This window comes from Homo sapiens, chromosome 14, assembly GCF_000001405.40.
Source record: "Homo sapiens chromosome 14, GRCh38.p14 Primary Assembly".
NCBI classification, from domain to species: domain Eukaryota; kingdom Metazoa; phylum Chordata; class Mammalia; order Primates; family Hominidae; genus Homo; species Homo sapiens.
Genome location: NC_000014.9, coordinates 72677204 through 72704354, shown reverse-complemented (window position 1 = coordinate 72704354; position 27151 = coordinate 72677204). Strand labels below are relative to the sequence as shown.

At 47.7% G+C, this 27151-nt stretch overlaps 1 protein-coding gene across 4 annotated transcripts in view, besides 1 other annotated feature; it reads left to right on the top strand.

Annotated features, from left to right (window-relative positions):
* The window catches only part of DPF3 (double PHD fingers 3), a 285068-nt gene that overhangs the window by 189747 nt on the left and 68170 nt on the right, over positions 1-27151 (top strand). For all 4 annotated transcript variants that reach the window (NM_001280542.3, NM_012074.5, NM_001280543.2 and 1 more), the window contains one exon: positions 11142-11279. In NM_001280542.3, coding sequence (NP_001267471.1) covers positions 11142-11279 — 138 coding nt within the window. The remainder of the gene's footprint in view (positions 1-11141; positions 11280-27151) is intronic.
* Positions 24088-24935: an enhancer, noted in NCBI's record as "H3K4me1 hESC enhancer chr14:73146128-73146975 (GRCh37/hg19 assembly coordinates)". NCBI's record gives its function as "activates a minimal SCP1, AML or CMV promoter by ChIP-STARR-seq in naive H9 embryonic stem cells {active_cell/tissue: H9 hESC(naive)}" and the evidence as "EXISTENCE:reporter gene assay evidence [ECO:0000049][PMID:30033119]".

Genomic DNA, 27151 nt, shown 5'->3' with positions numbered 1-27151 from the left:
TTGACCTTTCTCTTTTTACCTTCCCCAGAAATGTTGACAATGACATTTATTATTTAAATTATTTTTATTGTACAATTGAAAAGAGAATTCAGTTTCACTCTTAATTTAAGCTCATTAAGGACATGCTAACGCAGGACTCACTAGAATCAGGAATCAAAGACACCACCCTGAAAGGGATGCCAGTTGGAAGAAGGTGGCTCCGGAGTCAGAAAGCTAGGATTTGAATCTTTACCAGGTCACTTCCTAGCCATGACCTCAGGCAAATCACAAAACCACTTTGAGCCTTTGTTTTCTGGTCTGTTAGGTGAGGACAATAATATTAACCTTAGTGGGTTTCCAAGAGGGTTCAATGAGAAATTGTGTAAAAACAATTAGCTCACTGCTTGGTTCATAGATATTTTCAATAAATGTTTATTTTCTTTATACTGAATCAAGAAAAGGTACTTATTTAACACCTAAGCTGGGGCCCCAGTTGTGTTCTGTGCCCTAGCTGCTGCAGGATCTAAGGGAGTTGTCTGATCAAGTTAAATGAATGATCAAAAATAGCTGATGTTTGTTGAACATGTGCTGTGTGCCAGGCACTGGGCTGAGCATTGTAAGAAGATGAACTCCTGCAGTTCTCACACCTCCCCCATGAGCTACAAACTGTTATTGCCCTTGTTTTACAGACGAGGAAACCGAGGCTGAGAGAGACTAAGTCACTTGCCCAAGGTCACATTGCAAATCAGCTGACCCAAGAAGGCAGACTCCCGAGTTCACCTGCATTCTGTTACCCGGCTTCTCAGCAGGGCAGGAAACATTCCCATAACACATGGAGTGCTTTGGTTTTGGGGGGTTTCTGCATTTCCCTGCTGAGGATCCAGAAATCAGGTGATAGAATATTTTGAAACGAGAGTCTGGTTGCTTGTCTCTGTTCTTCCTCACATCTAGTAAATTCCCAAAATAAGCAGGACACTCTCCCTTGATGAAGACACAGGACTTTTGGGTCACTGGAGTTTGATAGATCCTGGGTCACCACCAGGCCCCAAGAAATGTGGCTGTGAAAAATCAGGGTGTTTTACCCCACCCCTACCCCCAATCCCCTGTGTCTCCATCCAAAGGAATTCAGCTTAAAATAAGCATCAAGGGTGGCCTGAAAGAAGGTATGAAGCCACGGGACGGCAGCTGCCAATCGTGCAGGGTGGGGTGGGGGGAGGTGGATGTAGCCAGCCTCTGGGAGCCTCATCATTTTCCTATCACAGTTGAGGAGATAATAGCTTCAGGACCTACAGAGAGTTGTGAAGTGCTAGAATGCAAAGGACTTAGAGATCATCTGATCCAACCCCCATATTCTGCAGATAAGAAAAATCAAGACCCAGAAAGGTATGAATTTGTCCAAGGGTGCATAGCGGGTTAGTATCAGACCCAGAGCCAGACCCCCGGTCTCTAGAAGGCCACCGAGTCTGCTGGCCTCGAACTTCAAGGGCAGGGGAGGGAGGAGAAGCCCACCTGGGGGTTGGATCCACCGTTGGCTTTTGAGAAAAGCCTGGCCAGTTGAAGTGGCTGTGGGATGAACAACTGTACCCTGCGTACCCAGTCTGAGCAGGTGGCTTTTGGAAGTACCTCCTGGGCTTTATCCCGATCTGAGTTTGTATCTGGGAGTCACACAGGGCTTTTCTCAGTTGGGGCTTCTCCCTGCTCGGGGGAATTGGTTGTAGGAATGCCTCCATCCCCCAGATGGTTCTGCAGAGAGAAGATGGAGGGTCGTTGGGAGGTGTTGGTGGCCCCAAACTTCTACGAGCCGGTCTGGTAGGGTGTGAATATGTGTCCAAATGGTATCCGGCAGGATGTGGGATTCCACTCAGAAGGGCTGGATGGAAGGGAATTTGATGCCAGAGTGATTATGAAGGTGTGGGCAAGATGAAGGTGCTGACAGGGAGAGCGGGAAGCCCTCCCTATCCCCAGCTCCAAGGAGCAGGGGAGACATGGGGTTCCCAGAGCCAGGCAGGACTGGAGTCTTGGAGGTGGGCCCCTATACAGCCCCTGTATAGCACAGTGCCCAGGCAGGGCAGGGCCCAAGTCCCCACGTGTTTTTCTTCCCACCCTCCGTTCTCCTGCTGGTGCCTCCTTCTTGCCGAGAGCAAGGGAGCATGGGTGAAGCAGGCCACGCCAGTCAGCCCCAGGCCGTTGGGGTGGGTGGGGAGGGAGGCAGTGCCAAGCAGAGACTCACCAGCGCACCTTTCAGTCACGTGCTTCAAGGGCAGACAGACCAGGGCTCAAACTCTGGCTGTGCCATCCAGAGAATTGCTTAAACTCCCCCAGACTCAGTTTCTTCATCTGTGGAATGGGGATCCTTGCCTCCTGAGCTGTGAGATTCTGCATGGGAATGGGTGCTGCCTGATGGTAGGTGTGATGCCTTGGAGGCATCGGCAGATGACAGGCATGGTGGGGTCTGGGTGACAGATGAGGAAGTCCAGCTGCAGAGAGAAGGAAGCGGTGTCCTCAGGGTTGTATGTCAGTGCCACGGGGCAGAGCCGGGAATGAGCTGTGGCTGGTGACTGGCTGGTGACTCCCAGGGCCCAGGCTTTGTCTCTGGGATGCTCATCCTGTAATTGCCTTCAGTCACTGCTTTCAGTCTCTCGGAAACCACTGGCTCAGATTCCCACTGTGTGCTCCAAGTTGGGCTGATGAAAATGTGCCAGAGTCATTAAGTTATCAGTGGGGAAGGCAGCCGCTTCTCCCCGGCAGGAAGGATTCTGCTGTCTGCTGCAGCGGCTTTGTTCACACAAGCTGCCCCTGATTCCTCCTCCTCCCTGCTCCCCCCGACCCCCGCCCAGACTAGGAGTGGGGTAGGTTTGAAGGAGGGCAGGGGGCGTGCAGTAAATATTTTGGAGCGGCACTGAAGGCATCCATAACTCCAGACAGGAGGTCCTGCATGCAGAATCCAGTTCTGGATTGGGAAGTGGGCAAACACTCCTTCTGCACCTTGACAGATGGATCCGCCCCAGGGGGAAGGAGAAAGAGAAGGCAAGCTGGACCTCCCTTATTGTCACAGCCACTGCTCTCCATGTGCACCATGCCAGGAACACAAAATCCAGGTGCACGCTTGCCAAGGTGAAAAGAAGGACCTTAGGTCGTGCACAGGCAGGGCTGACTGGTCCCAGGGGTGGTGGCTTCAGAGGTGCATGGTGCAAAAGCGCTTGCCCCCGGGGAAGGAGACTGGAGTGGGAAGATGGGGCATGACCCTCTCTGCTGCTTCAGCGCTCCTGGGGCTCAGGCTGATTCCGCACGACAGATATTTCCAGAGTGAGAATGCCGACATGATAAAAGGAGAGCAGATGGTTCCAGTACTTTATTTTCAAAATGTTTCTTTTCCCACCCTCTTTTCCTTGCTATTCCACTCCAGACTTCAGAGGAGAAATAACTCCCCACTTTGGGGTTTATTCTCTTTGTTGGGCCACTTTGACAGCAGTGGTGATGAGAGCAGCTGAGAACAGCCACGACTCCCCATGAGCTGGGCTTTGTTTTAAATACATTCTCTCATATGGGTCTCACCGCGGGGAGCAGGTGTGCTGTCATGATCCACCTTGTTTTACAGAGAGGATGCTGAGGCACAGAGAGGATTAGTAACTTGCCCAAGATCACAGAGTCAACAGCAGAGCTGGGACTTGAACCCAGGCAGTTCAGATCCAGCCTGCCCACTTACCTGCTGCAGATTCTGCCTCTCTGAGGGCAGAGCCGATCTAGAAGCCAGGCCTGGGTGGTTGATGGCACTGAGATGATGACTACTGAGCAGCTAATCACTCTGGCCAGACTTTCAAGATTATCTCAGAAGGGAATTTTATGCCTGACTCAGGACTGGTTGGGACCTGGGTTCACCTTGGCAGCTCTCAGACTATCAGGTCAGCTATTTGGAGTAACTTAGTCTCAGATCTCCACTCTGAACCCAACAGACTTCTAGAACTGGCTACGTGATTTGTAGGGTCCACTGCAAAATGAAAATGCGGGGGCCCTTGTTCAATAAATATTAAGAATTTCAAGATGCCAACAGCAGGGCATTAAACCAAGTGTGGGGCCTTTCTGAACTCGGACCCTGTCTGGAAGCACAGGTCACAGGCTCACGAAGCTGGCCCATGGTGTTTGCAGTGACAGGAAGACATGATTAAACACAGAAGGAGAAACAGTGCTGGCTTTTCTAAGCCAGTCAAAGCAGGATTTCAAGACGTTTCTTTCCATTGTGATGAAGCAGTTTCATCCTGATGCAATCCAACCAAAATAACTCTTGGAAGTCTTCACTCTTCCTCTTGCCCCTATGATGAAATCATTCCAAGGACTAAGACTTGGGAGTCAGAATAGGCTGGTAAAACACAGGCTCCACCCTGGTCTGCCCTGATCCTAAGCTCCCCTCCACCCACCAACCTCCCTCTTTCCTCCTCCCACAGCTGGCCCCATCAGCACTTCCTCATTTCTTGGAGCACCCTGCAGTTGTGCTCCTCGACTTTGTGGATTCTCTTCTTGCTAAGGCAACTTCCCAATTTCCAAATCCAGTGGTCTCTTAGTCTCCAACCTTCTTGACCCTTCTCAGGCATCTGATTAATTTATTACTGTGGCTCTGCCTCGGTGCAGAATCTCCTCATCTTTCTTTAAAATGGGGATGCAGGTTGCTGTGAGTCAATTTACTTGAAGCACTTGGAGTGGGCCTGGTCCGTGGTAAACACTCAATAGCTGTTGGCAGGACCTGTGACTGGTGGTGTCATTGTTACTGTCGTCTTGAAACCCTGTTCCTTTGGCTTATGTTGCTCACTCCTGTGTGAGTTTTTCTTAACAATTACTAATTTTTTTTTTTTTTTTTTTTTTTGAGACAGAATCTCTGTCACCCAGGCTGGAGTGCAGTGGCACAATCATGGCTCACTGCACCCTCGACCTCCTGGGCTCAAGTGATCCTCCCACCTCAGCCTCTTAAGTAGCTGGGACTACAGGAGCATGCCACTACACCTGGCTAATCTTGAATTGTCTTTTGCAGAGATGGGGCCTTGCTATGTTGCCCAGATGGGTGTTGAACTTCTGGCCTCAAGTGATCCTCCTGCCTCAGCCTCCCAAAGTGCTGGGATTATAAGCATGAGCCACCACACTCAACCCTTTCTAAACAAATTTTTAAAAAATCAGTTTCTCTTTTTCCACCAGTTTCTTAAGATCCTGGTGTTTTCTGAGTTCTATCCTGTGTAGGCACCTCTTTTCTCTCTCCACAGTCTCTTCCTGACACTTTTCCCCATACTTATAACATCCATTGCCACCCTGCCAGCTCCAAAATCTACGTCTCTTTCCCAAGCTTTAGGTGAACTCAACTCATTTTCTTCCTTCTTTAAATCTGGTTTTCCTCCTTCATCCTTCTACCCAGTTGCCCACGTCAGAAACATGTGCATCTCTTTGCTTTCCGTAGCTGACATTGAGCACCTGCCACAAGTGAGGCCCTGTGCTGGTCATCGGGACACAGCACTGCGGATACACAGGACCTGCCATGCTTGCTGCCAGTGGGAGAGATGCATACAGATGCTCATCCACTTATGGTAGTGCTATGTCCTGGCAAACCCATCATAAGTTGAAAATATCCTAAGTCGAAAATGCATGTCTTACACCTAACCTACCAAACCTACTAAACCATAGTGTAGCCTAGCCTACTTTTTTATTTTATGTTTTTTCTTGCTCTGTCACCCAGGCTAGAGTGCCGTGGTGTGATCTCAGCTAACTACAACCTCTGCTTCCTGGGCTCAAGTGATCTTCCCACCACAGCCTCCTGAGTAGCTGGGACTATAGGTGCGCACCACCACACGTGGCTAATTTTTGTATTTTTTGTAATTTTTGTATTTTTTGTAGAGACCATGTTGCCTAGGCTGGTCTTCAACTCCTGGGCACAAGGGATCCTCCCACCTTGGCCCCTCAAAGTGCTGGTATTAGAGGTGTAAGCCACCATGCCCAGCCCTAGCCTACTTTGAAAATATACATTAGCCTACAGTTGGGCAACATCATCTAACACAAAGCCTATTTTAGAATAAAGCATTGAATATCTCATGTAATTTATTGAATACTGAACTGAAAAACAGAACAGCTGTATAGGTCCTTGAAGTATGGTTTCTATCGAATGTGTATTGCTTTCACACCATTGTAAAGCTGAAAAATCAAAAGTCAAAGCATTGTAAATTGCGGACTGTCTGTATTGACACGTGATTAGTCCTAGGAAGGCAAAAAACTAAGGTTGTAATTTTGATTTGAAAGACTTCCCTGGGGGAGGACATTTGAACTGAGATCAGAGGGATGATTAGACCTTAATCAGGCAAATTGGGGATGGGGACATTCTAGGCAGAGGAAAGAGCTTGTGTGAAGACTCTGTGGTGGGAAGAGAAATCTATAATAAACGAAAAGGCCAGCGAGCAGAAGGGCTGTGTGGAGGCAGAACGTGGTGTCAGAAGAGGCTGGAGAGGTGGGTGGGGCTGGGTCAGGCCTGGCCAGGAAGGCCATGTTAGTCTTTCTGGGTTCCTCCTTGCTTTCTTACTCACTCCCTTTTCCACCAAGTTCTCTCATTAACCCCTCTCCCACCCCATTTTTCCTCTCCATGCACAAGTCCTCATTGTTGCACAGGTAAACAATTGAAATAGCCCCTCGCTACCTTCAAATCCATATTCTGCCCTACAATCTTAAGCAGTATTTCTAACATGTCAGTCTGCTTAACTTGGTCCTCAGGATAGAATCCTCTCCTGGCTGCCCCATTGTCAGGATAAAGCCTTGCTCAGCTTCCTCTCCTGTTAGTCTTCCTCACATCCACCCCCACCGCTCCACCTCTTCAACTTTGTTAGACTTCTCGCAGTTTGCAGAGGTGATAACTGCATGTGCTTTGAGCCCCCTTTGCCTGCTGAAGTCCTGCTCATGTCAGGGGCTCCTTCTCTGGGAAGCCCTACCCTACTCACTCAAGCCAGTTTCCTGTCCCCTCTTTGATGTCCCTCTTTGCCTGGCACGGTCTCACCCTGTATCCAACCCACCTCCCCCTGGCTTGTTTACATGCAGATCTCTGCTAGACTGCGACCTCCTCCATGGAGGGGTCTGGGGCTTGTTCATTTTTGTCCTTCTTGTGGCACAGGGTGGGGCACATATTAGGTGTCTAATAAATATTTCTTGAATTGAAGACCTGGTGATAGAAGAATGACATGGTACAAATACCCGGTTAAAAATGGAGCTCCATCCAGAGGGCTCTTCATGAAGAAGTCTGGCTTCTGGGACCTCCATGTATTGTCTGGTCCTGATTCTGCTAATAACTGCTAATAACTGAACAAAGGTCTCAAGGCTGCCTATCCTGCCCCTGCCTGCTACGGCCATCCATCAAGAAGGGCATGTGGACATAGGGTTGGTGGAGCCAAGCCTAAATAGATCCAGCCTTCTAGCCCAGTGGTTCTCAAACTTTAGTGTGCATCAGAATCACCTAGAGGGCTTTTAAAAATCTAGATCACTGGGCCCCACCCCCAGAGTTTCTGATTCAGTCAGTCTGGGGTGGAGCCCAAGAGTTTGCATCTCTAACAGGTTGCCAGGAGATGTGGATGGTGCTGGTCTGGGGACCACTGTTTGAGAATCTCTGTTCTAGCAAAAGGATTTGCTCTAAACATTATTACTTTCTACCATGTTGGGGAAGGAGATAGAGGGAGCTTTTTGCTTAGGTTTGGTTTTGTAGACTTTTAAGAACAATTAGTCTGAGCTTAATGTGGGTAGAAGGATTAGATTCTGCAATTTGCCTCTTCGCCCATCTCCTGGCCTTCCCACAAAATGGTTCTGTATTCATTCATGAGCCACTCAACAAATATGTTTTGAAGGCGTAGTATGTATATGTCAACATATAAGGTGGAGTTGTTGATATCAAGATGAAATTGATATGAAACTGTCCTTAAGAGACATAGTGCAGACATAGCCATAATTCAAGGAGTCTAAAGGAGAAATGCCTGCTTTGACTGGTAGTGAGTTCCCTATCAATGGAGTTGTCCAGAACAGCCTTCTAGAGTTATTGGGAATAAAACACTTCTCTAGATAGACAAAATGACCATTAAGATCCTGAAATTGTGTGATTAAGCAACAGTGATGATTGACATAACAAAATGGCACAAGTGAAATGCTGTGAGTTTATACTGGGGATCTGCAGAGGTGGCTGAGGCCTCTTTGTGTAAATACTGATATCATTATCATTACTTTTAATAAGCATTTATTCCTTACTAACAGTATGCCTGGCAACTAAATGGATTTATATGCAATGACCCCATAATTTGCTGTGTATTAACTTCAGATTATCTAAAAAGCTAAATAGAAAAAGCCACAAGCAGATCCAGAGTGCACCTCAGGGGCCTCTTTGGGTCCAGCTTCCTGAGTCACATGGAATTAAGATGCATAGCACTATTTTATTTTATTTTAATTTTATTTTTTTTACAATATTTATGAGAGAGAGGAAGAGAGAATATATGAATGTAAGTAGCCAATGATAGGCCTATTTATTTTAATTTTTTATTTTTTTAGATTCAGGTTTGTTACATGCATATATTACATAATGCTAAGGTTTGGGCTTCTATTAAACCCATCATCCAATTAGTGAACATAGTACCCAATAGGTAGGTTTTCAAGCCTTGCCCTCTTCCTTCCCTTCCCCCTTTTGGAGTCCCCAGCATCTGTTGTTTCCATCTTTACGTCTGTGTGTACCCAGTGTTCAGGATATTCCGTGGAATATTACACAGCCATAAAAAGAACAAAATCATGTCCTTTGCAACATGGATGCAGCTGGAGGCCATTATCCTAAGTGAATTAATGCAGAAACAGAAAATCAAATACCATATGTTCTACTTATAAGTGGGAGCTAAACATTGGGCCTTGAATTTATAGTCACTGGGTCACCAACTTGAATTTCAGACTCTCATCTTACCTTAACAAAGAAGTCCAACCAGTTGCCAGATTTTATAATATGAGGCAAGGGTCAAAGTCCCTCTTTTCAGGAAGATCCAGTACCTAAGATGCAGCAAAAAATGCTGACAGCCCTTGCCCCTCATTTACCATTTATTGAACATCTATTATGTGCTGGGTATTGAGAGAGCTGCTTGCAAATGCTATTTATAATACCTTTACCCATCCTGCAAGATAAGTACTGTTATCCTCATTTTCAGATAAAAGAAAAGGCACAGAGCTGCAGCTTGTCCAATTTCATGCAGCAAAACTCTTCAGTTAATTTTTAGAAATCAACATCACCATAAAATTGAAACCTAATAAAAGATAGTCCAAAAATTATAGATTGAGCTCAAGTCTTAGTACAGATTCAAGATGCAGTATTAGAAAGCAGAATGCAGCAGTATATCAAATAAATAATATACTCTGACCAAATGGAGTGCATTCTAGGAATGCAAGAATGGTTCAATAATAGGAAATATTAGGAAATCAACGTAATTTACCTTATCAACCAACTAAAGGAGAATCATATTATAGTAGATGCTGAAAGGGTAGTTGATAAAATTCTCCTATAATAAAACTCTATAGCAGGAATAAGAAGAACTACTTAAATTTGGTAAAGACTAAAAATTAGCCAGATACATCGTTCTAAACAGTGAAACACTAAATCCACCTTCATTAACATTGGAAATGCTTGCTTTTGCCATTTGAAGATATTGTTTTGGTGGTTCTTACAAATGATCTAAGCTAAGATAAAATAGTTTATGTAAATATGGGGAAGAAGAGGTGACATTATTTTGGCCAATGTTTGTCTACTGAAAAACCCCAAGAGAATCTGGTAGGAAGAGAAACTCTATCAGAAGTAATAAGGGTATTGGATAAGATGACTGGATGACAGCACTTCTGTATACTCTCAGGACCACACAGCCAGTGAACCTCAGCAGCTGGAACTGGGATTTGAACCCAGGCCTGATGCTAAAGTTGTGCTCTTCCCACCTTGTGAAGCATTTATGCTTCCTTGTATGACGTGGTCATGTCAGCACAAGGGAGAAGTCTTTTAGAATTTGTAACTTTCAGGCACTCCAGCAGAGAGCAGGTTGGTTTGCTCTGATGGGGACCCAGGCTGGGGGACAAGCATAGAAGGTTGGCATGGACATTTCACTGGGAAGACTCTCGAGGTTTCTGCTACCAGCAATGCCGTCCCCCTAGGGGCCGAGATAATGATCCCTATGTGGGGAGGTTGAGGGTGGTAGTGTGACCTTGAGCCATTTAGCCAGACTTCTGCTTCCCAGGAACTGAGCATCTAACCAACAGAACTGCTGCCCTTTCTTCCTGGCTCCAAGAAGGCACATTTCGATTGCTCGCTGCCCTTGGCTCAAACTGCCCCATTTGAGAGGTAGTACTTGTGAGAGCACCTTTTACAGATTTGGCTGCCCTGGGGCATCAGGGGCACAAGCTCTTGGTGACTACACTCACCAAGGATGCTTTAACTCCATGGCGTTCATGGTAGAAGTGCAGCATGTGTTTCTGGCACAAAATCGCTGGGTGAGACATCAAAAGGATTATCCAGATAAAACTTTTCTACTTCTTGCAGAGGCCAACCATGGGGTGGTGGAAGGGACAGTGCACAGGAACCCAGGAGACATGGGTTCTGGTGGCTCTGCCACACTAGTTGTGTGCTCCTGGGCAAGTCACTTGGTGTTGCTGGGTCTCACTTGCCTCATCTGTGTCATGGGATGTTGGATTGGGTAGATTCCCAGTGCCCTTTGAATTCAACGTCATAACAATTACCCTCACAAAGTGCCTGATATTGTTTTAAGTACTTTGCATAGAGATAAACTTATCACAATGACCCTGTGAGGTAAGTACTGTTATTGTTCCCATTTTATCTCGGAAGAAACTGAGGCACAGAGAGGTCAAGTGACTTGCCCTGGGTCTCACAGCTAGAAACGGTGGAGTGCTCACACAGCTCTTAACCTCATATTTTACTTTTACAGTTTTTCTTTCCATGACCTGAGTTGTTACAAGGGTGTTGGTTCTGTTGGGTGGGGGAAAGGGATGTTGGGATGGGAGACAGTTTTAAGGGAAGCCTGGCTCTGGGGTGGATGGATGGGATCACTGTCTGGGAGAATGATAGCGGTGGCTGCACAGGTTGCTAATATTTGTATCTCTCCCTTTTTTCCTCTTTTCCTCTCTAGTCTGTGGCAAGCGCTACAAGAACCGACCGGGGCTCAGCTACCACTATGCTCACACTCACCTGGCCAGCGAGGAGGGGGATGAAGCTCAAGACCAGGAGACTCGGTCCCCACCCAACCACAGAAATGAGAACCACAGGCGTGAGTGCCTACTTGTTAGGTTGGGGCAGTGAAGAAGTGGGTTAGACAGGCTGGGGAGCGTTCCTTGTTCCTTTTTCTCACTGCTGGCATCTTCTGGTAGCAACCGTTGAGTGGTCTCAATGTGCTGTAGTGTGTTGGCCCTTTCAGCCAGCCAGCCAGCTGCCCCTGCAGCTCAGCCCAACCCTAGGCTTAGCAATAGCAGGGCTGGGCTCACACACCCTGCTCTGCTCCCAGAGGAAGGAAGGTGAGTGTTAAGCAGAAGAGAAAGTCCTTACCTGGCCACTGTCAGATGCCAGACCTACAACTCTTTTCCCTCACTCCTGAAGAGCCAGCCACTCAGACTGGGTTGGGCATAGGTAATAGGTGTGTCAGTTCAGACACACATTCGAAATGCCTGCTTGGCTACGAAGTGCCTTAGAATATTCTTATCTATTGCTGTGGTTTTGTTGTAGAGGGGAGGGGATCACATTTTGGTACAGGGCTCTCCTGCCTTAGAAATGCTGCCTGGAGACCCCATGTTCTTTGCTTCAGCATTCAAATGGCAAATGTGATCTGGGTGGATTTGTCGTTTGGGATGTTGGGCTCTCAAGACCCAAAATGATCCTGAAGATTTTGTGTTTCCGTTTCTCTGCTTTCTTACCTCAACTTCCAATTATGAATTAGGGAATCCAAAGGGGCTTAGCATTTTCCATTTGACTTTCCTCTAGAACATCCCTTATGGTCTCTGGGCCTGCAGAAATCTCAACATGGAAATGGGATAATGGAATCTTTAGAGCCTGCTTGAAGATGTGGGCCACACTGAGATCTCTCAGTGAAGAATATTCGTGGACAGGCCATGTGTTTTTCATTTTGTTCAGAAGATTTGGTGGTAGGTGTTCTGAAAGTGAACAACTCAATGCAGTGAAAGGGATCAGACGTTTAAAATATTCAGACTCTAGGATTAGAGGATGCGTGTTAGCCAACGACTTAGTCAACTGATGTCCACTGGCCACTTTCACCAAAGATTTGAAATAAAGAACACACCTGTGGCCAAGACCATTCTTCAGATTAGTGTGGGGTCTCCCTTAACCTCCACCCCACTTTCCCCTCGTAATATTGCCTTCTTTATGGGTTTGCTAGGGTTCTCATAAGAAAACCCCACAGATGGGGTGGCTTAAACCACAGAAATTAATTTTCTCACAGTTCTGGAGGCTGGAGGTCCAAGGTCACGGTGCTGGCAGGGTTGGTTTCCTCTCCTTGACTTGCAGATGCTGCCTTCTCCTGTCCGCTCGCACAGTTATCCCTCTGTGCATGCGTGCTGTGGCATCTGCTTTTGTGTCCACATTTCCTCTTCTTCTTTTTTTTTTTTCTGAGACGGAGTCTTTCTCTGTCGCCAGGCTGGAGTACAGTGGCGTGATCTTGGCTCACTGCAACCTCTGCCTTCCAGGTTCAAGCGATTCTCCTGCCTCAGCCTCCCAAGCAGTTGGGACTATAGGCACTCATCACCACCCCCAGCTAATTTTTGTATTTTTAGTAGAGACAGGGTTTCACCACGTTGGCCAGGATGGTCTCGATCTCTTGACCTCGTGATCCGCCTGCCTTGGCTTCCCAAAGGGCTGGGATTATAGGTGTGAGCCACCACGCCCAGCCCATTTCCTCTTCTTGTAAGGACACCTGTCAGATTGGATATTAGGGTCTATCCTGACAAGCCCATTTTAACTTTACCTCTTTAAATGCCTCTTTGAGGACCCTACTTCCAAACCAAGTCACAGTATGAGGTACCATGGGTTACGCTTTCAACATAGGAATTTGGGAGTGGGGAGGGGATGCAATTCAGCCTTCAGCACCTTCTTGAATTTTTGCTCACTTCCAAGGTGCAAGCCTTTAGTGCGACAGACCCTTGCTTTCTCACCTGCTGTTGTCACCTGGACAGAACCTGAACAGCAGAGCAGGAGGTGCCCCCCGAGCCTTGCCCGCCTCTCCTTGCCAGGGCCTGAGGAGCTCCAACACTGAGGTCTTCTCTCTGGGAAGAGCTTTCCTTGGTCCAGTCACCCTTGTCTTTCAAAAAGGAAAAGATACTGACCTGTACTGAGGCAGCCAATACTTGCATTTCCCTTTCTCTCCTCTTTTCCCTGGTCTAAGTGACCAAGAGGTCACACGGAGCTGTTGTCTCCCACCATGAGGAGGCTGAGAAGAATCTCCTTTGATTTTGGTTGCTCCCTGAAAAGTGTTTCTTCGCCATTGTCGCGCTCTCTAAAGTGTTTATTAGCTTGGTAACCTTATTTCTCACTCCCCTGTGCTAGCTTATCTCCTTATATCTCTTCTCAAATGTCAGGCCATTTTGTTCCTTTATTCATGCCCTGGGGTTTGGAATGCTTCTTGTCTGTCTGTGTCTCATTTTCCTTGGTTCTCCTGTAGCCTCATTATGAGCCGGGTGTGTGTGTGTCTATGCGTGTGTGTGCGTGTATGTGTGTGTGTGTGCGTGCATGTTGTGTGTGCGTGTGTATACGTGTTGTGTATGTACGTTGTGTGTGTGCGTGCATGTGTGTGCGTGTTGTTTGTGCATGTGTGTGCTTGTTTGTGTGCATGTGTATTGTGTGTGTACCTGCGTGTGTGTGTGTTTTTGTATATGTGTGCATGCGTGTGTGCACATGTGCATATGTGTCCGTCCATGTGCTTGGTGTTTGTGGCTGCACGGGGAGGTGTGCTGCAGACCCGAAGTAGAAGGAGGCAGTCTCCCCAGTGATCCCTGTGGTCCCCTCAGGGTTGGTTGACTTCTGAGACAAGCACTCGGGTGTGGATCTTCTCACGAGCCCTCGTGGGCGGGTGTGTTTGGCCTTCTAGTGTTCTCCCCTTGAGGCCACACAGCCTTGCTTGGGAAAGAAGCTGTGCCTGTCTCCCCTCGCCCTACGTGGAGATGTGGAGACGTCTGCCTACGAAATTTCATGGGTGGCTTGTTCTCACCTCTGTGGGCTTGTCAGTGAGTGGCACACACTCCAACTCCCCCTCCCCTTTTTCTCTTTCTCACCCTGCTGATGAGAAAGTGGGCTCTTCAAAAAGGATCATTTGCCTGGCCAAGGGTTTAAAACCTCCTAGAAAATAATAGGTATTCCCAGGCGGATCCGGGGCCTCCCCACACGAAGAAGGTTCCAGAATCCTCACAAACACCTTTTTAGTGACATCTCACAGTGCCCTCCTCGAAAACTCTGTGATTAACCCAGTTTTGCTAGTGGGGAGGGTACAGCAGAAAGGCTTTTAGTGCCTGCAGAAAACATCCTTTCCCCCACCCCCAATTTCTCTGGACAAACCCATGAGGCAGCTGGTCGTCCCAGGTTCTCTGCACCACACACGCCGCTGACTTGCTCGCCGCCCCGAATGTGTGCTCTGCTCCCTCCCACATTCCCCTGGTGAGCAGCCCCCCGACTATTTTCTTGTGAGCACTAATTGCCAGCATCATTAATACCTAGTCATTAGCTGCTCCCACTGTTTGGGGATAGGGGGTGGCTCCCATCCATCCTGCCCCTAAATGCTACTGGGGCTGTGTGCTGAATTGGAAGTGACAGCTCGGCAGCATCCTAAGGTCTCAGCTTCGTGATCCTCCCTTGGTGAGGCTTTTGGAGGGGAGGGGCAGGTAGGAGAGCTTAATCCAAGAGGCTAATCTGCGGCTCCCCCAGGAGAAGGTCTGGACACCAGTGAAGTGGAAATGCTGACTTTTTCCCCCTTTAGCAGAGCTGCAGGGTGACCCAAGCTGCATGTGAGCGGAGGCCTAATGGAAAAACAGCCTTACAGACACAGGGTTTGCAGGGCCAAGGGCAGCTGGGTTTGCACCACCTGCAGCAGTAGCGACCTTTTGACTTTGGTCCTCCTGCTGTCGCTTGCTCTATCGCCCCCCAGCTTTGTCTTCAGCAGAGCCCATGGCTCATCCCGCGCCTGGTGCTGCTGCTGAAAGGGCAGAGTGGACTGCTGGAGCCGGCGCTGACCTTCCCCGCCCCCGCCCATGCTGCCCTGTGCTGCAAGCTCAGCAATCCACTGCCACTCCTGATCGCCTGGCCCCCAAGCTGATGCTCTCACGCCTTTGTTTCTCCCTCAGTCTCTCATTTTCTCCTGAGTATACATTTCTTGTGTTTCCTGTACGTTTGTCCCCTTTCCTGTGTGCCCTTGCCTCTCTGCCTCAACTACAGGAAGCCAGGGATGCTTGGAGCTCAAACACTCCCCTCTGGGAAATAGTGCTTTTCTGATGGGGTCCTCTGCATGTGGGCTGCATCCCACCCTCTCCCTGCATGAGGCTGGGTGCCTCTTCGGCCTCCATTTCTTTTACCACCTTCACCTACTTTTTGCAAATGAAATAAATGACTGTGTGTGTGCACATGCATATGTACACACACATACACCTACACATAGATGTACACATACATGAATGAAGGGAGGGCAGCTGGGGAGGATAGGACTCTGAAAGATACACTCAGAAGCATACCATTGTGACTACTTAAATGCAGCCTTGGTAGGGAGCCCCAGTGGGGTAGAGTAGCAGAAAGAGCTCTGGACTAGAATTCAAAACCCCCTTAACATAGGCTTGTGATGTTAAACTCTTTGAACTTCTTTTTACCTTCTCTGCACAGTGGGAATTGATTATAGATGATGTTTTTGAGGTAATTTTTAGAGTGAGGATAGACATTTATGAAGTCCTGGGCCTGGATGAAAAGCTGTGTAAATAAATTCAGTCTAATCCATCCATGCATCCATCCATCCGTGTATACGTCATCGATCCATCCACCCACCCACCCACCCACCCACCCACCCATCCATCCACCCACCCACCCACCCACTCATCCACCCACCCATCCACCCATCCATCCATCCCATCCATCCATCCATCCATCCACCCACACACCCACCCACCCACCCATCCATCCATCCATCCATCCATCCATCCATCCATCCATCATCCATCTCATCTGTCCATCTATCCATCCACCCATCCATGTAATAACCATGTATTGAATATTGTCTATATGCTGGGACTAGGGAGGACAGGCATAAATAGGACTCAGCCCTGTCTTTGAGCTCACAGTCTTGAGTGGGAGTGTGCAATGGGGTGTGTACAGAACCGTGAGGGAGTTCAGGACTCAAGGGCACAGGGTACTTTCTATGCCTTAGGGCAGTGGTATTCCAAGTGTGGCATTAGCATCCCTTGGGACCTTGTTGAAAATGTAGATTCTCAGGTTCTACTGGATGTCCTGAAACAGAGACTCCAAGGATGGGGGCCAGCAGTCTGGGTCTTACAAAGCTCTCCAGGGCATTCTGGTGCATACTCAAGCTTTAGGACTACTGCATTAGGGGGTTTGCAAAGGCTTCACCGAAGAGGTGACATTCAAGTTAGCCATTGGAGAATGAGAAGGAATTTCTTAGGAGGGAGAGGGCTTCCCAGGTAGAGGGAACTGTACATGAAGGCAGGCAGGTATGAGATAGCATGGCACATTCAGACAATTGGAAGTCTTTGGGTCTGATAGTAATGTTGGATTTAGGGGATGCAGAGGAAAGATGGAAATGTAATCAGGGGCCACAGTGGGAAGCGTCTTCTATGCCCCTCTGTGTAGTCTTTATTCCTATAGACAGTGGGAAGCCAGAGTAGCAATTACTAGAAGGCAAAAACAAATAACTTAAAAAACATCTGTTTGGAGTCTTATTGTTATATGTTGTATCTCTTTTATTTAATAGCATAAGTAAATATAACATACTCTCTATAGCATACTCAGAGCTCCTAAGAGGGAAATTTAAAAAAATATGAGTCTATAAAATGTATTTCCAGCTGATTTTTCAAGTCTGTGGAATTGAAGATGGGTTCTTCTAGGTTCCTGGAGGTCTCAGCCTTTTGTGCAAGGGTGGTATGCCTGGTGCAAAGTTAGGCTTTTCACCTCTGTTGAGAGAAAAAAGAGCCCCAGCTCTAGCACGCCTTTGGAGGGCATGTTGTACTCTGCAGAGCTGAAAGGGGAGAACCAAGTTGATTAAGGGTAATGTCTGCTGATTAGATAATCTGAAAATTAGTCTGATAATGTGCAAATTATCTAAAAGAAGCATATGATGTCATTGCCACACTGTTGGGAAAGATCTAACAGATGTTAGTCTTCTGACATCTCTTGTCCTCTAACATATGGCTTGAGGGCGGCCAAAAGCTTTAAGAGATAGAGTGAAAATTACCTTTGAAACAAGCTTAGAAATTTTAGATTACTCTGAAAGGTGACTGAAAAGCCATAAAGCCTACACAGCCAACTGCGTACCTAAACTTGACACCAGAAATCCAGCCTTTGTTATTAGGGGAGACAGAGGAAAGTTTAGATACAGAGCTCTTTCTGGGAAATTGGGCTGCTTCTTCCTTCTCAAAGAGTAAATTTGGAAACTAGTAACAGGTGTTCTTTAGAGAAATTATTATTTAACTAGACAGTTTTCAGATTATATAGCAAAGAATCCATAGAGTTGCTCTGGTCCTTGCAGGGGATACTTGGGGCTCATTTTCTGGCCTCAAAGGTCATCTACATCCTTGACCCTGTGGCTGAGGGAATGGCTGTGGAGTTGGTCAGTCCAGGGTGTGAATGGTGACCCTGGCAATCTGCCATCTTCCAGTGGTACAAATGTGGGCCACTTACCTACACTTCTGCTTCTTAGTTGCCTCATCTATAAAACGGGGGTAATAATCCTCCTGACTTCATGGGATTGCTGTGAGTCTTAAATGAGATAATGTGAATGTTTGGCACCATGCCTGTGAGCACTAATGTCCCATCTCTGTCCCATTTGGGCCCACAGGCATGTCTGTGACCACAGATGACTCATCTGAATCATGGTTCCATCTGAGCCCATGTGATGGGACTTTGCCACCACTGTGAAGCTAACTGCCTGTGGGGTGTCATTGGCATCAGCAGTAACTATCAGAGCCTGACCTGGCCCTGGCATATCCTTGGCTAAATCTTAGATATGGGACACAGATCCTTCTGAACAGGCTCATTATGAATATTTATTAAGCACTTACTGTACATGCACCCAGTTGTTGGGAGAAGTGTAACTGGGCCTCCAGAAAGGGATAACGTGGTCTCAGCCCTGGGAGAACTTCTGGTGCAATTGTGGAAATAAGACAGAGTCATAAAACCCAGCCAGAGAAAGCTGTGGAGGGCAATCTAGACAAGTGTGGCACCCTTTTATTTGCCAAGCCATTGCCCTAGGATTGGGGCTCCACGTGTCTCTTGGCTGTCTCTGAATCTCTTTTATTTCTCTCGCATTTTGGGCCTAATTACCTAGAAATGTGCAGGATTGAAAAGACCCACATACCAAACAGCAACAGTGGCAATGGTACTTGCTTGCATTCCTTAAGTGTGTCAGACATGGTGCTAAGCATGCCACATGTATCTCATTCATTCCTCACAATAACCCTGCAAGGCAGGTGCTGTATCCCCCAGAGGACAGCAAGGCACACAAAGACCAAGTCATGTATCCATGGTCAGGGAGGATGAATGTGAATTCATGAGTCATGTACCACTTATTGGGAGAGTTTACTTATTTAGGTCTTTGATTTTTCCTGCCTTGTTAGAAATAAAATTATCTTGCACGTAGAAGAGGAAAGAGGGAAAGAGATGACGGAACAACTAGTAAGTGTCAGGCATTTTACACACATCACCTCATGTTATGATCATAAGTCCATTAGGGACATGTTATTATTCTCATTTTACAGACAAGGAAACTGAGGCTCAGAGAGGTTGAGTAACAGACAGCAAGGTGGGAAGCTGAGATGTGAATGGGCTTGAGTTGGATACCATTCAGTTATGTCAGGACTTTGGAACCCTGAGTGATGGGCCCTAGTCCCAAGGCTTGGATCTTTGTCATGGTCCTACCGATGTCCCTTAACTTTTGCCTCAAGACCAGTTGTCTAATGCATCATGCTGCATTGTGGCTTTTCAAAAGAGATGAACATGTTAATAGGCACTGTCTTAACAAAATTCCATCGACTGGGTGGCTTAAACAACCGGAATTTATTTCTCACAATTCTGGAGACTGGAAGTCCAAGATCAAGGTTCTGGTAGGGTCAGAGTGTGGTGAGGGCTCTCTCCTTGGATTGCAGATAGCTGCTTTCTCATTGTGTCCTCACATGGCCTTTCTTTGGTGTGTACGGGTGGAGAGAGAGAAACAAGCTCTTTGGTGTCTAATAAGGGCACTAATTTCATTACGAGGACCCCACCCTCATGACCCCACTGAACCTAATTGCCTTCCAAAGACCCTTTTCCAAATAACATCCCTTTGGGGGTTAGGACTCTGACATATGAATTTTGGGGATGAGGGACACACTTCAGTCCATAGTAGGCACATTTACTCTTCAAAGCTCTTTACTAACTTAGGCTGTTTGGGATGTTTTAGAGACCCCACCCCTGCATTACAAATTCTAGGTCATACTTTAATTGGTAAATGAGTTTTTTTCCTACAGAAAAAAAAATCACACATCATTCTATTCAATAATTTTCCTGAGTCTTTCTCTCTCATTCTGTGTCTCACTGTCTTTCCTGGCTCTCATTTTTTTTTTCTTCTAAACTTGCTCTTTTAAAAAAAAAAGCTTGAGCCTGAAGTGAAATATTAGGATTCATCCTTGCCTCTTGGTTTTCCTTCAGTCTTCCAAAATATACCCTACATTTTCTCCCTCTCTCTATCTTCTGGCCACCCCTGGCTTCTGCCTGGGTTGTTAAAACTTTTTTGATTGGTCTCCCAGCCTCTAAAGCAGGCTGTGGCTCATACCTGTAATCCCAGCAGTTTGGGAGGCTGAGCTGAGCAGATTTCTTGAGCTCAGGAGTTCGAGTCCAGCCTGGTCAACATGGTGAAGCCCCATCTCTACTAAAAATACAAAAATTAGCCAGGTGTGGTGGTGCATGCCTATAATCCCAGCTACTCGGGAGGCTGAGGTGGGAGGGTTGCTTGAAGCCAGGAGGTTGAGGTTGCAGTAAGCCATGATTGTGCCACTGCACTCCAGTCTGGGAGACAGAGAGAGATCTTGTTTCTAAGAAAATATATATATATGTAAAATATAAAGCAGATGATGTCACTCTCATGCTCTCAACACTTTCATCACGTTTGAATACAACCCAAACTCCTCATCTTGTGGGTCTGTGTTTTGCATCTGACAGTGTGGTCAGAAGCACCTGGGGCTTGGTGACAGCTTGTCCAGGTTTGCCCAGCTACAGCACTGAAAGCCCCACGCCCTAGAACCCTCTGTCCCAGTCAAACCTGGATGCGTGGCCACCCTACCAGGGGAGCTTTTAAGACATGTAGAATCTCAGGCTGTACCCTGGATCTATGAATTCCAACCTGATTGTTAATGAGATCCCCAAATGATTTGCACAGCAAAATCTGGGAAGCCCTAGCCTGTGAGGCCCTGCGTGTCCACCTCTCCGACTCACCTCCCCTCAGGTGCGCGGTTGCTTGGGTTCAGAGCCAAGTGAGCCACTGACTAACGTGTGACCTTAGCTGAGCTGCATAGCCTCCATATGCCTCATGGATCACTATGTAACATCAGATCATTAATGGCATCTATCTCATAGGCTATGATGAAGATTAAGTGAATGACTTCCGGGTGACATGACTGTCACACCAATTAAAGCCATGTTTCTCAAGCTTGAGGCTGCATCAGAATCACCTGGAGCATTTGTTAAAGCACAGCCCACCCACTGGATCCCACCCCCAGAGTTTCTGATTCAGCAATTCAGGCCCTGGAATTTGCTTTTTTTTTTTTTTTTTTTGAGATGGGGTCTTGTTCTGTCACCCAGGCTGGAGTGCAGTGGTGCGATCTCGGCTCACTGCAACCTCCACCTCCTGGGTTCAAGTGATTCTCTTGCCTCAGCCTCCTGAGTAGCTGGGATTACAGGTGTGCACCACCACACCCAGCTAATTTTTGTATTTTTAGTAGAGGCGGGGTTTTGCTATGTTAGCCAGGCTGGTCTCGAACTCCCGACCTCAAGTGATCCACCTGCCTTGGCCTCCCAAAATTCTGGGATTACAGGCATGAGCCACTGTGCCTGACTGGGAATTTGCATTTTTGACAAGTTCCCAGGTAAACCACTACCTTACAGAAATCTAGCTTTCCAAGACTGATGTTCAGTCAGTCAACTTCCTTTTAATTCCTTTTTTCTTTTGGATGCACTGAGCCAGGTAACTGGCCAGGAGTTAGGTTGTACTGTCAAATTGAAGGGGCAGCCTTGGTTTTTGCTCTTTTCCTAATGCTCTATCCCATGTAGGGCAGACGTCTCTGACTCTCAGCACCAACTTCCCGGCCTGCTTTTGGAGTGCGCCCCTGCGTGTGCCACCATCCTCAGGCTGTGCTGCCCCAAGACTCTGTGGTCTCTTGATTCCTTCCAAATCCTCAGGTCTAAAGCAGAAGGCTCATGCTTTCCCTTTTCTTAAATACGGCTTTCTGTCTGAAGAACAAAGAAAATGCTGGTCCCCTTGCAGACAGAGTTCAGTGGTGCTAGTGAAGAGGGTTGAGAGGGCACGGCTGGGCAAAGCAAAACAAGGGGCTTGTTGAATCCTAATTATGTCGATAATAATATCCCGACAACTTAAACAGACAAAACTCATCCAGCTCTAACACACCAAGCTGTCTGGAATTCATTAAGGGGAGTGACATCACTTTGTTCAGAGCCTGGTTGATATAGTTGCTCTCAAATTAACATTTTCTCCTTCAACAAACTCATTTGGTAGCAATCACAAGTTGCCACACCAGGGCATGAACTGACCCATATCACCAAACACTGGAAAACTGAAATATCTCATTACGTGTCACGTAATGAGATATTCATCTCAGTGTCATGAACACTGAGAACATTCCTAAGCTTTTTTTTTTTTTTTTTTTCTTGAGACAGAGTCTTACTCTTGTTGCCCAGCCTGGAGTGCAGTGGCACAATCTTGGCTCACTGCAACCTCTGCCTCCCAGGTTCAAGTGATTCTCCTTCCTCAGCCTCCCGAATAGCTGGGATTACAGGTGTGTGCCACCACACCTGGCTAATTTTTGTATTTTTAGTAGAGATGAGGTTTTTGCCATGTTGGCCAGGCTGGTCTTGAACTCCTGACCTCATGATCCACCTGCCTTGGCCTCCCAAAGTGCTGGGATTACAGGCGTGAGCCAGCATATCCGACCCATTCCTAAGCTTTACTTGGTCTTTTTCTTACTATTCCGAAGCATTAATGGCAGACCTAGGGTTGCCCACCTAAAGCTGGAGCACAAAGGACATTCCTTGGGGGCCGTGTGACCATCTAGCCCCAGAGCTGGTGACATGGTGCACACACTGCTGGCAAATTGTTGTGGCCTTTTGGCAAACCGCAAATTACAACTCTCACCAAATATATCCATCTCAGGATGGAGACATCAGTGTGAGTGGATATGTTTTCTGCTTTTATGGCACAGTTTTTGGGAGTAAATATTCACCAGGTTTGTATCTAAAGATGTAAGTATTGGATAAAGATGGAGGAAAAGAAGGCAGGCATAGGAAGGGTGGAGGGTTGACGCCACATTTTGAAATATTTATATTATTTCTACAGTCACCAAAACACGCAGCAAGATGGGGCCTCTGTTCTCACTGGCTCCTGCTGAGTCCCTGGTGAGAGACAGAATGAGTCTCAAGACTCTGGGGCCAGCTGAGCCTGGGGATTCTTGATGCCTTCCATTCTGGTTGACTAAGAAATGCCTAAGAGAGAGGATTCCTGGGGGAGGTAGATGCAGTGGCTTTCCACACCACAGCTTTCTTCTCTCCAAGGGGCTCCAATATTTCTCCTTCCCACTTCTTCTGTGCCCCGATATAAGAGGGACTTAGGATGGTCACCCTGTGCTCGGGGGACTCTCCGTCCACTCAATTCCTAGTCATTAACTTCCCTTTGCCTGGCAGATTTTTTTTCCCCTCAAAAAGCCTCTGTGATGATTTGTCCATCCTTTCACTCAGCATTGATTGTCAGCTCTGTGTCACTCACTGCTGGCCAGGGGCCAGGGATACCGCAGTGAAGGACATGGTTCCTGCCCTCAGGTGTTACTCATGTGCCCTCAGGTAGCACATGGGTAACAGGCAAAGAGGCATTTACATGAGTATAGAACAGTGATGAAAGGCTGGGTTCCTCTGGGTGTGGAAAACTTGGCTTTTCTGTCTCTTTCTTCACCTGATTATAATGCTTGAATAATAGGCCTGAAAGGGACCTCAGGACATCACCTAGCGTGTTCTCTTGCCTCTAGATCGGCAACGCAGTCAAAACCCCGGGCCTAGGGGCCCTTCCCTGTGTGCAGAGGCCTCTCCAGAGAAGCCCGCCCTCTGGCCATGGCTTTCGTTGTTAGCCACCTGCCTTTCCAGCTCTCCTGTGGCATGTGCTGCCATTCCAGCTCATCTTCTCACCTTGTCCTTGACGGTGCGGAGTGTGACAGTTTATCAGCCCCATCCATAAATGTGAGGACTCATGACAGCAGCCCTGGCCTCAGCGCCTTCCGCATCCGCTCCAGCGTAGTCCCCTTTACTTTCCCATATATTCACGGTGTCCTCAGAGCTGGTGGCAAGATGGCCTGTGGGGAGAGCGAGTTCTCTGCCGTCGAGGGCTCTGACGATTGGAGGGTCCTGTGGGGAGCGGGCCCTACTGTCTGCTTCCCCGCCAGGCTTCCAGGCCCCCTGCCCCTCCACATTTGGGATGAAGCCTTCCTTTGTCTTCCTCCTGGAGCCCTGGGGCGGGACCTGAGTTGCTATTAGTGGCCAAGGAGAACCAGCCTGAATGAAAGCCCCACACTTTTTATTCCTGGGATCTGTGGGATTTATTTTTTCATCAGTTCTAGGGAAGCAGTGAAAAAAGGTGTCAGGCCTGGGGGATAATTTATATGAGTAAACACGACCAGCGAGTGGGAGCATGAGAATTAAGGCCATTTATCCCGGCTTTGATGCTCCCTTTGCCCTCTGGTCCAGCCTTCCCCACAGTCTCTATCACGCCACTTTTAACCCTCTCCTGGCTCTGCTTCACGCTGGGCCTGCCGGAGCTCCTCGCAGGCGCCTTGTCTCCCCAGCCCGCCTCTCCCTCCTCCCGCAGCCCTCATTAAAGGCTAGGCCGAGGTAGCAGGCTGTGGCAGTGGCCTCCAGCTGAGGCTTGCTCCTGATTCTGCAGGGAAGGCACGTCGGGGTCCACCCTTACTCCCCACCCTCTCATCTCCGGCCCCCAAGCTTCCTCCTCTGGACTGGCCTAGCCAGCACGTCCCGCCTGGCCGGCCTGGGCTGCCTGTCTGCTTTCCCTCCTTTCCTCTCCCCTTTCCTTCCCTCCGTCGTCCTCTGAAGATGCGCTCTGCACAGCCAAGTGGCACGGGGCTAGCATGCTTTACACTTGAGAGATGAAGTCATAACAGGTGGCAAGAGCGGAGGCTGCCGGAGCCCAGGATTCCGGTTGCCATGGAAACATGTCAGACCTGTAGAGGGACACGGGAACTGTCAGCCTGTGGAGGGTGGCGGGGGGAACAAACGAGAGGGGCGAGGAGAGGCGCATCTCTTCCCAGAGGGCTCTGCTCACTGCCCCCGAATTCCCCAAGGGCTGTGCACCCCAACTTCCCAGGCTAGCAGGCTCCAGAAATGGAGCTGCTCAGCTGGGGCTGGGGCTGGGGCTGGGTGGTGGGTGGTGGGCACCGAGCGTGGCCGCGCATTTGTGCACACCAGGCCCTGGCAGGTGGTCAGAGCGTCTGCTCAGGATGTGAGGCCATGCTTTTGTGCACGTGCCAAGGAGGAGCCTGAACTTCTGGCCAGTTTCCTGTTCCCTAGGATGCTTGGGACGCAGCTCTGGTCTCAGCAGAACCCAGACGAGTGGCTGTTGCCGACGGCTGGTTTGTCCCTGCCAGTCATTCTTTCTGTGAGTGGCAGGCACACCACAGCGGAGATCCGACTGGGAGGGGGAGAGGCGGTGCTGCCTGGGCGGTAGTTTTATGGAAGATTTGGGGCCTTGTTTGCCATAGACATAAAACCTGATTTAACTCAAAAATCCTGTAGCGAGCACTGATACCTTTCCAGAATGCCTGCTCTCGCTTCCCTGAGCGTGGTGATGGGGCTGTGTGAAGCTTCACTTTTCATTTTTCTTGCTTTGATTTATCTGAATGCTCTTCCCTGCCTTCTGTTATTTTTCTTCTACTTTCTTCATGAACTTTGTTCCTGATTTCCATTTTTTTTCCTTTGAGCTTTTTAGAGTTATCTCCCTCAGGTAGATTTCTAAACTCTTAAGGCTCACTTTATTTTCTCAGCAACTTACTTGTATCTCTTATATGATCTCAGCCCATGAACATTAATCAACAGAAAACCACATCCATCATCGCAGATGCTGCCATAGAGATGCCAGTCGGGTCTTTGCCCTCCCCGTCATCTTATTCTATAAAGCGGGACTCAATTTCCCATAAGCAGAAGCAAAATCTCTATTTAAATCCCACTTACAAGGTCTGGGCGAGCTTCCTATTTGTAGTAAAATCTTTTTTATAATGATCTCATATACAGTACCAGGAAATTGCTCATGGCTGGGTCAGGCCATAGGCCAACCTAGCCATGATGTGAGCTTTACTTAAAAAAATTCCTTCATGAGCCTCTGGAATTCTCCAGAGAAGTGTTTTCATAGAGTAGATGACAATAAACAGGATCACCCAGGATGGATTACTGTAGTAGGGACATTAAATTTAAGTTCAAAGGGAATTTCCACTTTTATCAGGCCGGTCTCAATAATTTTTATAGCTTTGGGCTTCGTAAATATCATATTGGGCGAATCAGGTTGACTCTAAAGAGATTTATGAAATATTTTATATGCAAGGTATGGCTGCAAAGTGTTTACCTCTGGACTTCCCAGGAGGCAGAGAAGTGTGATTAGAGGCACAATCTCTGGGGACACAGACAAACTGGGGGTGAAACCTGCCTTCGAAGAGCCCAACCGAGGCTTGGAGCCAGCGCTTTAATCTCTTTGGATTTCAGTTACTGCATCTGTCAAAAAATTCCCTACTTCACAAAGTTTTTGCAAGAATCAATGAAATAACATATATAAAGCATCCAGCAAAAGATTTGCCACAGTTTTGTGGTGTGATAAATGTCTGCTTCCTTTTCTTCTCCTTTCAATACGCAGTTGAACAAAAGGGAAGCTGAGTGGATAGGCATGACCAGGTATCCTCTTCTCAAGAGACAATGAATCATTGTCTTCTATGTTCTTGTGTGTTTGGTGCAGAATGATGTCTCGCCTCCCACAGGAGGGGTACAGTATTATTCTTCCAGTGACTCAGGGCCATTGGCTACCGACTTCTGTGTACTCTGGGAGCTGGCCATGAGACCAGGTGACAGACCAATTCATGCACACATGGACCAGCTCTCCTCTGGTAGGGAAATAAACCAGGGGCAGTGAATGATATCCGGTGCTCCCAGGGCATCACTGTGCCACCCACTAACATCCCTGCCATCCCTCTCTAAAGTCACTCATCCCACAGATTGTAGGGGTTCCAACAACGGGTTAGACCTGGTCTCCAACCTGAAGGAGTAGACCTATTTAATATGGAGAGATGATAATGTGAAACGGGGAGAGGAGGCACACAGACTCAATATAAACAAGGGTCATAATGGTGATATCAACAGTACCCTCCCCAGGGCATGACTGATATGTTTTAGCTGAAGTTTGGGAGAGCTCCATGGGAGAACCCTTGCTCTGAAACTAATCCCAAGTACCAAAATGTTTAAGAAAATCAGGTGCATAAGCAATTAGTCCATTCCACACCATCTGACCACAATGGAAGGATGCTTTGAGCTCACTGTTGTAAGAAAGAGTAGAAACTGAAGCAAAAATGATTTCTCTGAAAAATAAAACAGCTGTGCATGATCACTTTCTATACTGGGCCATTG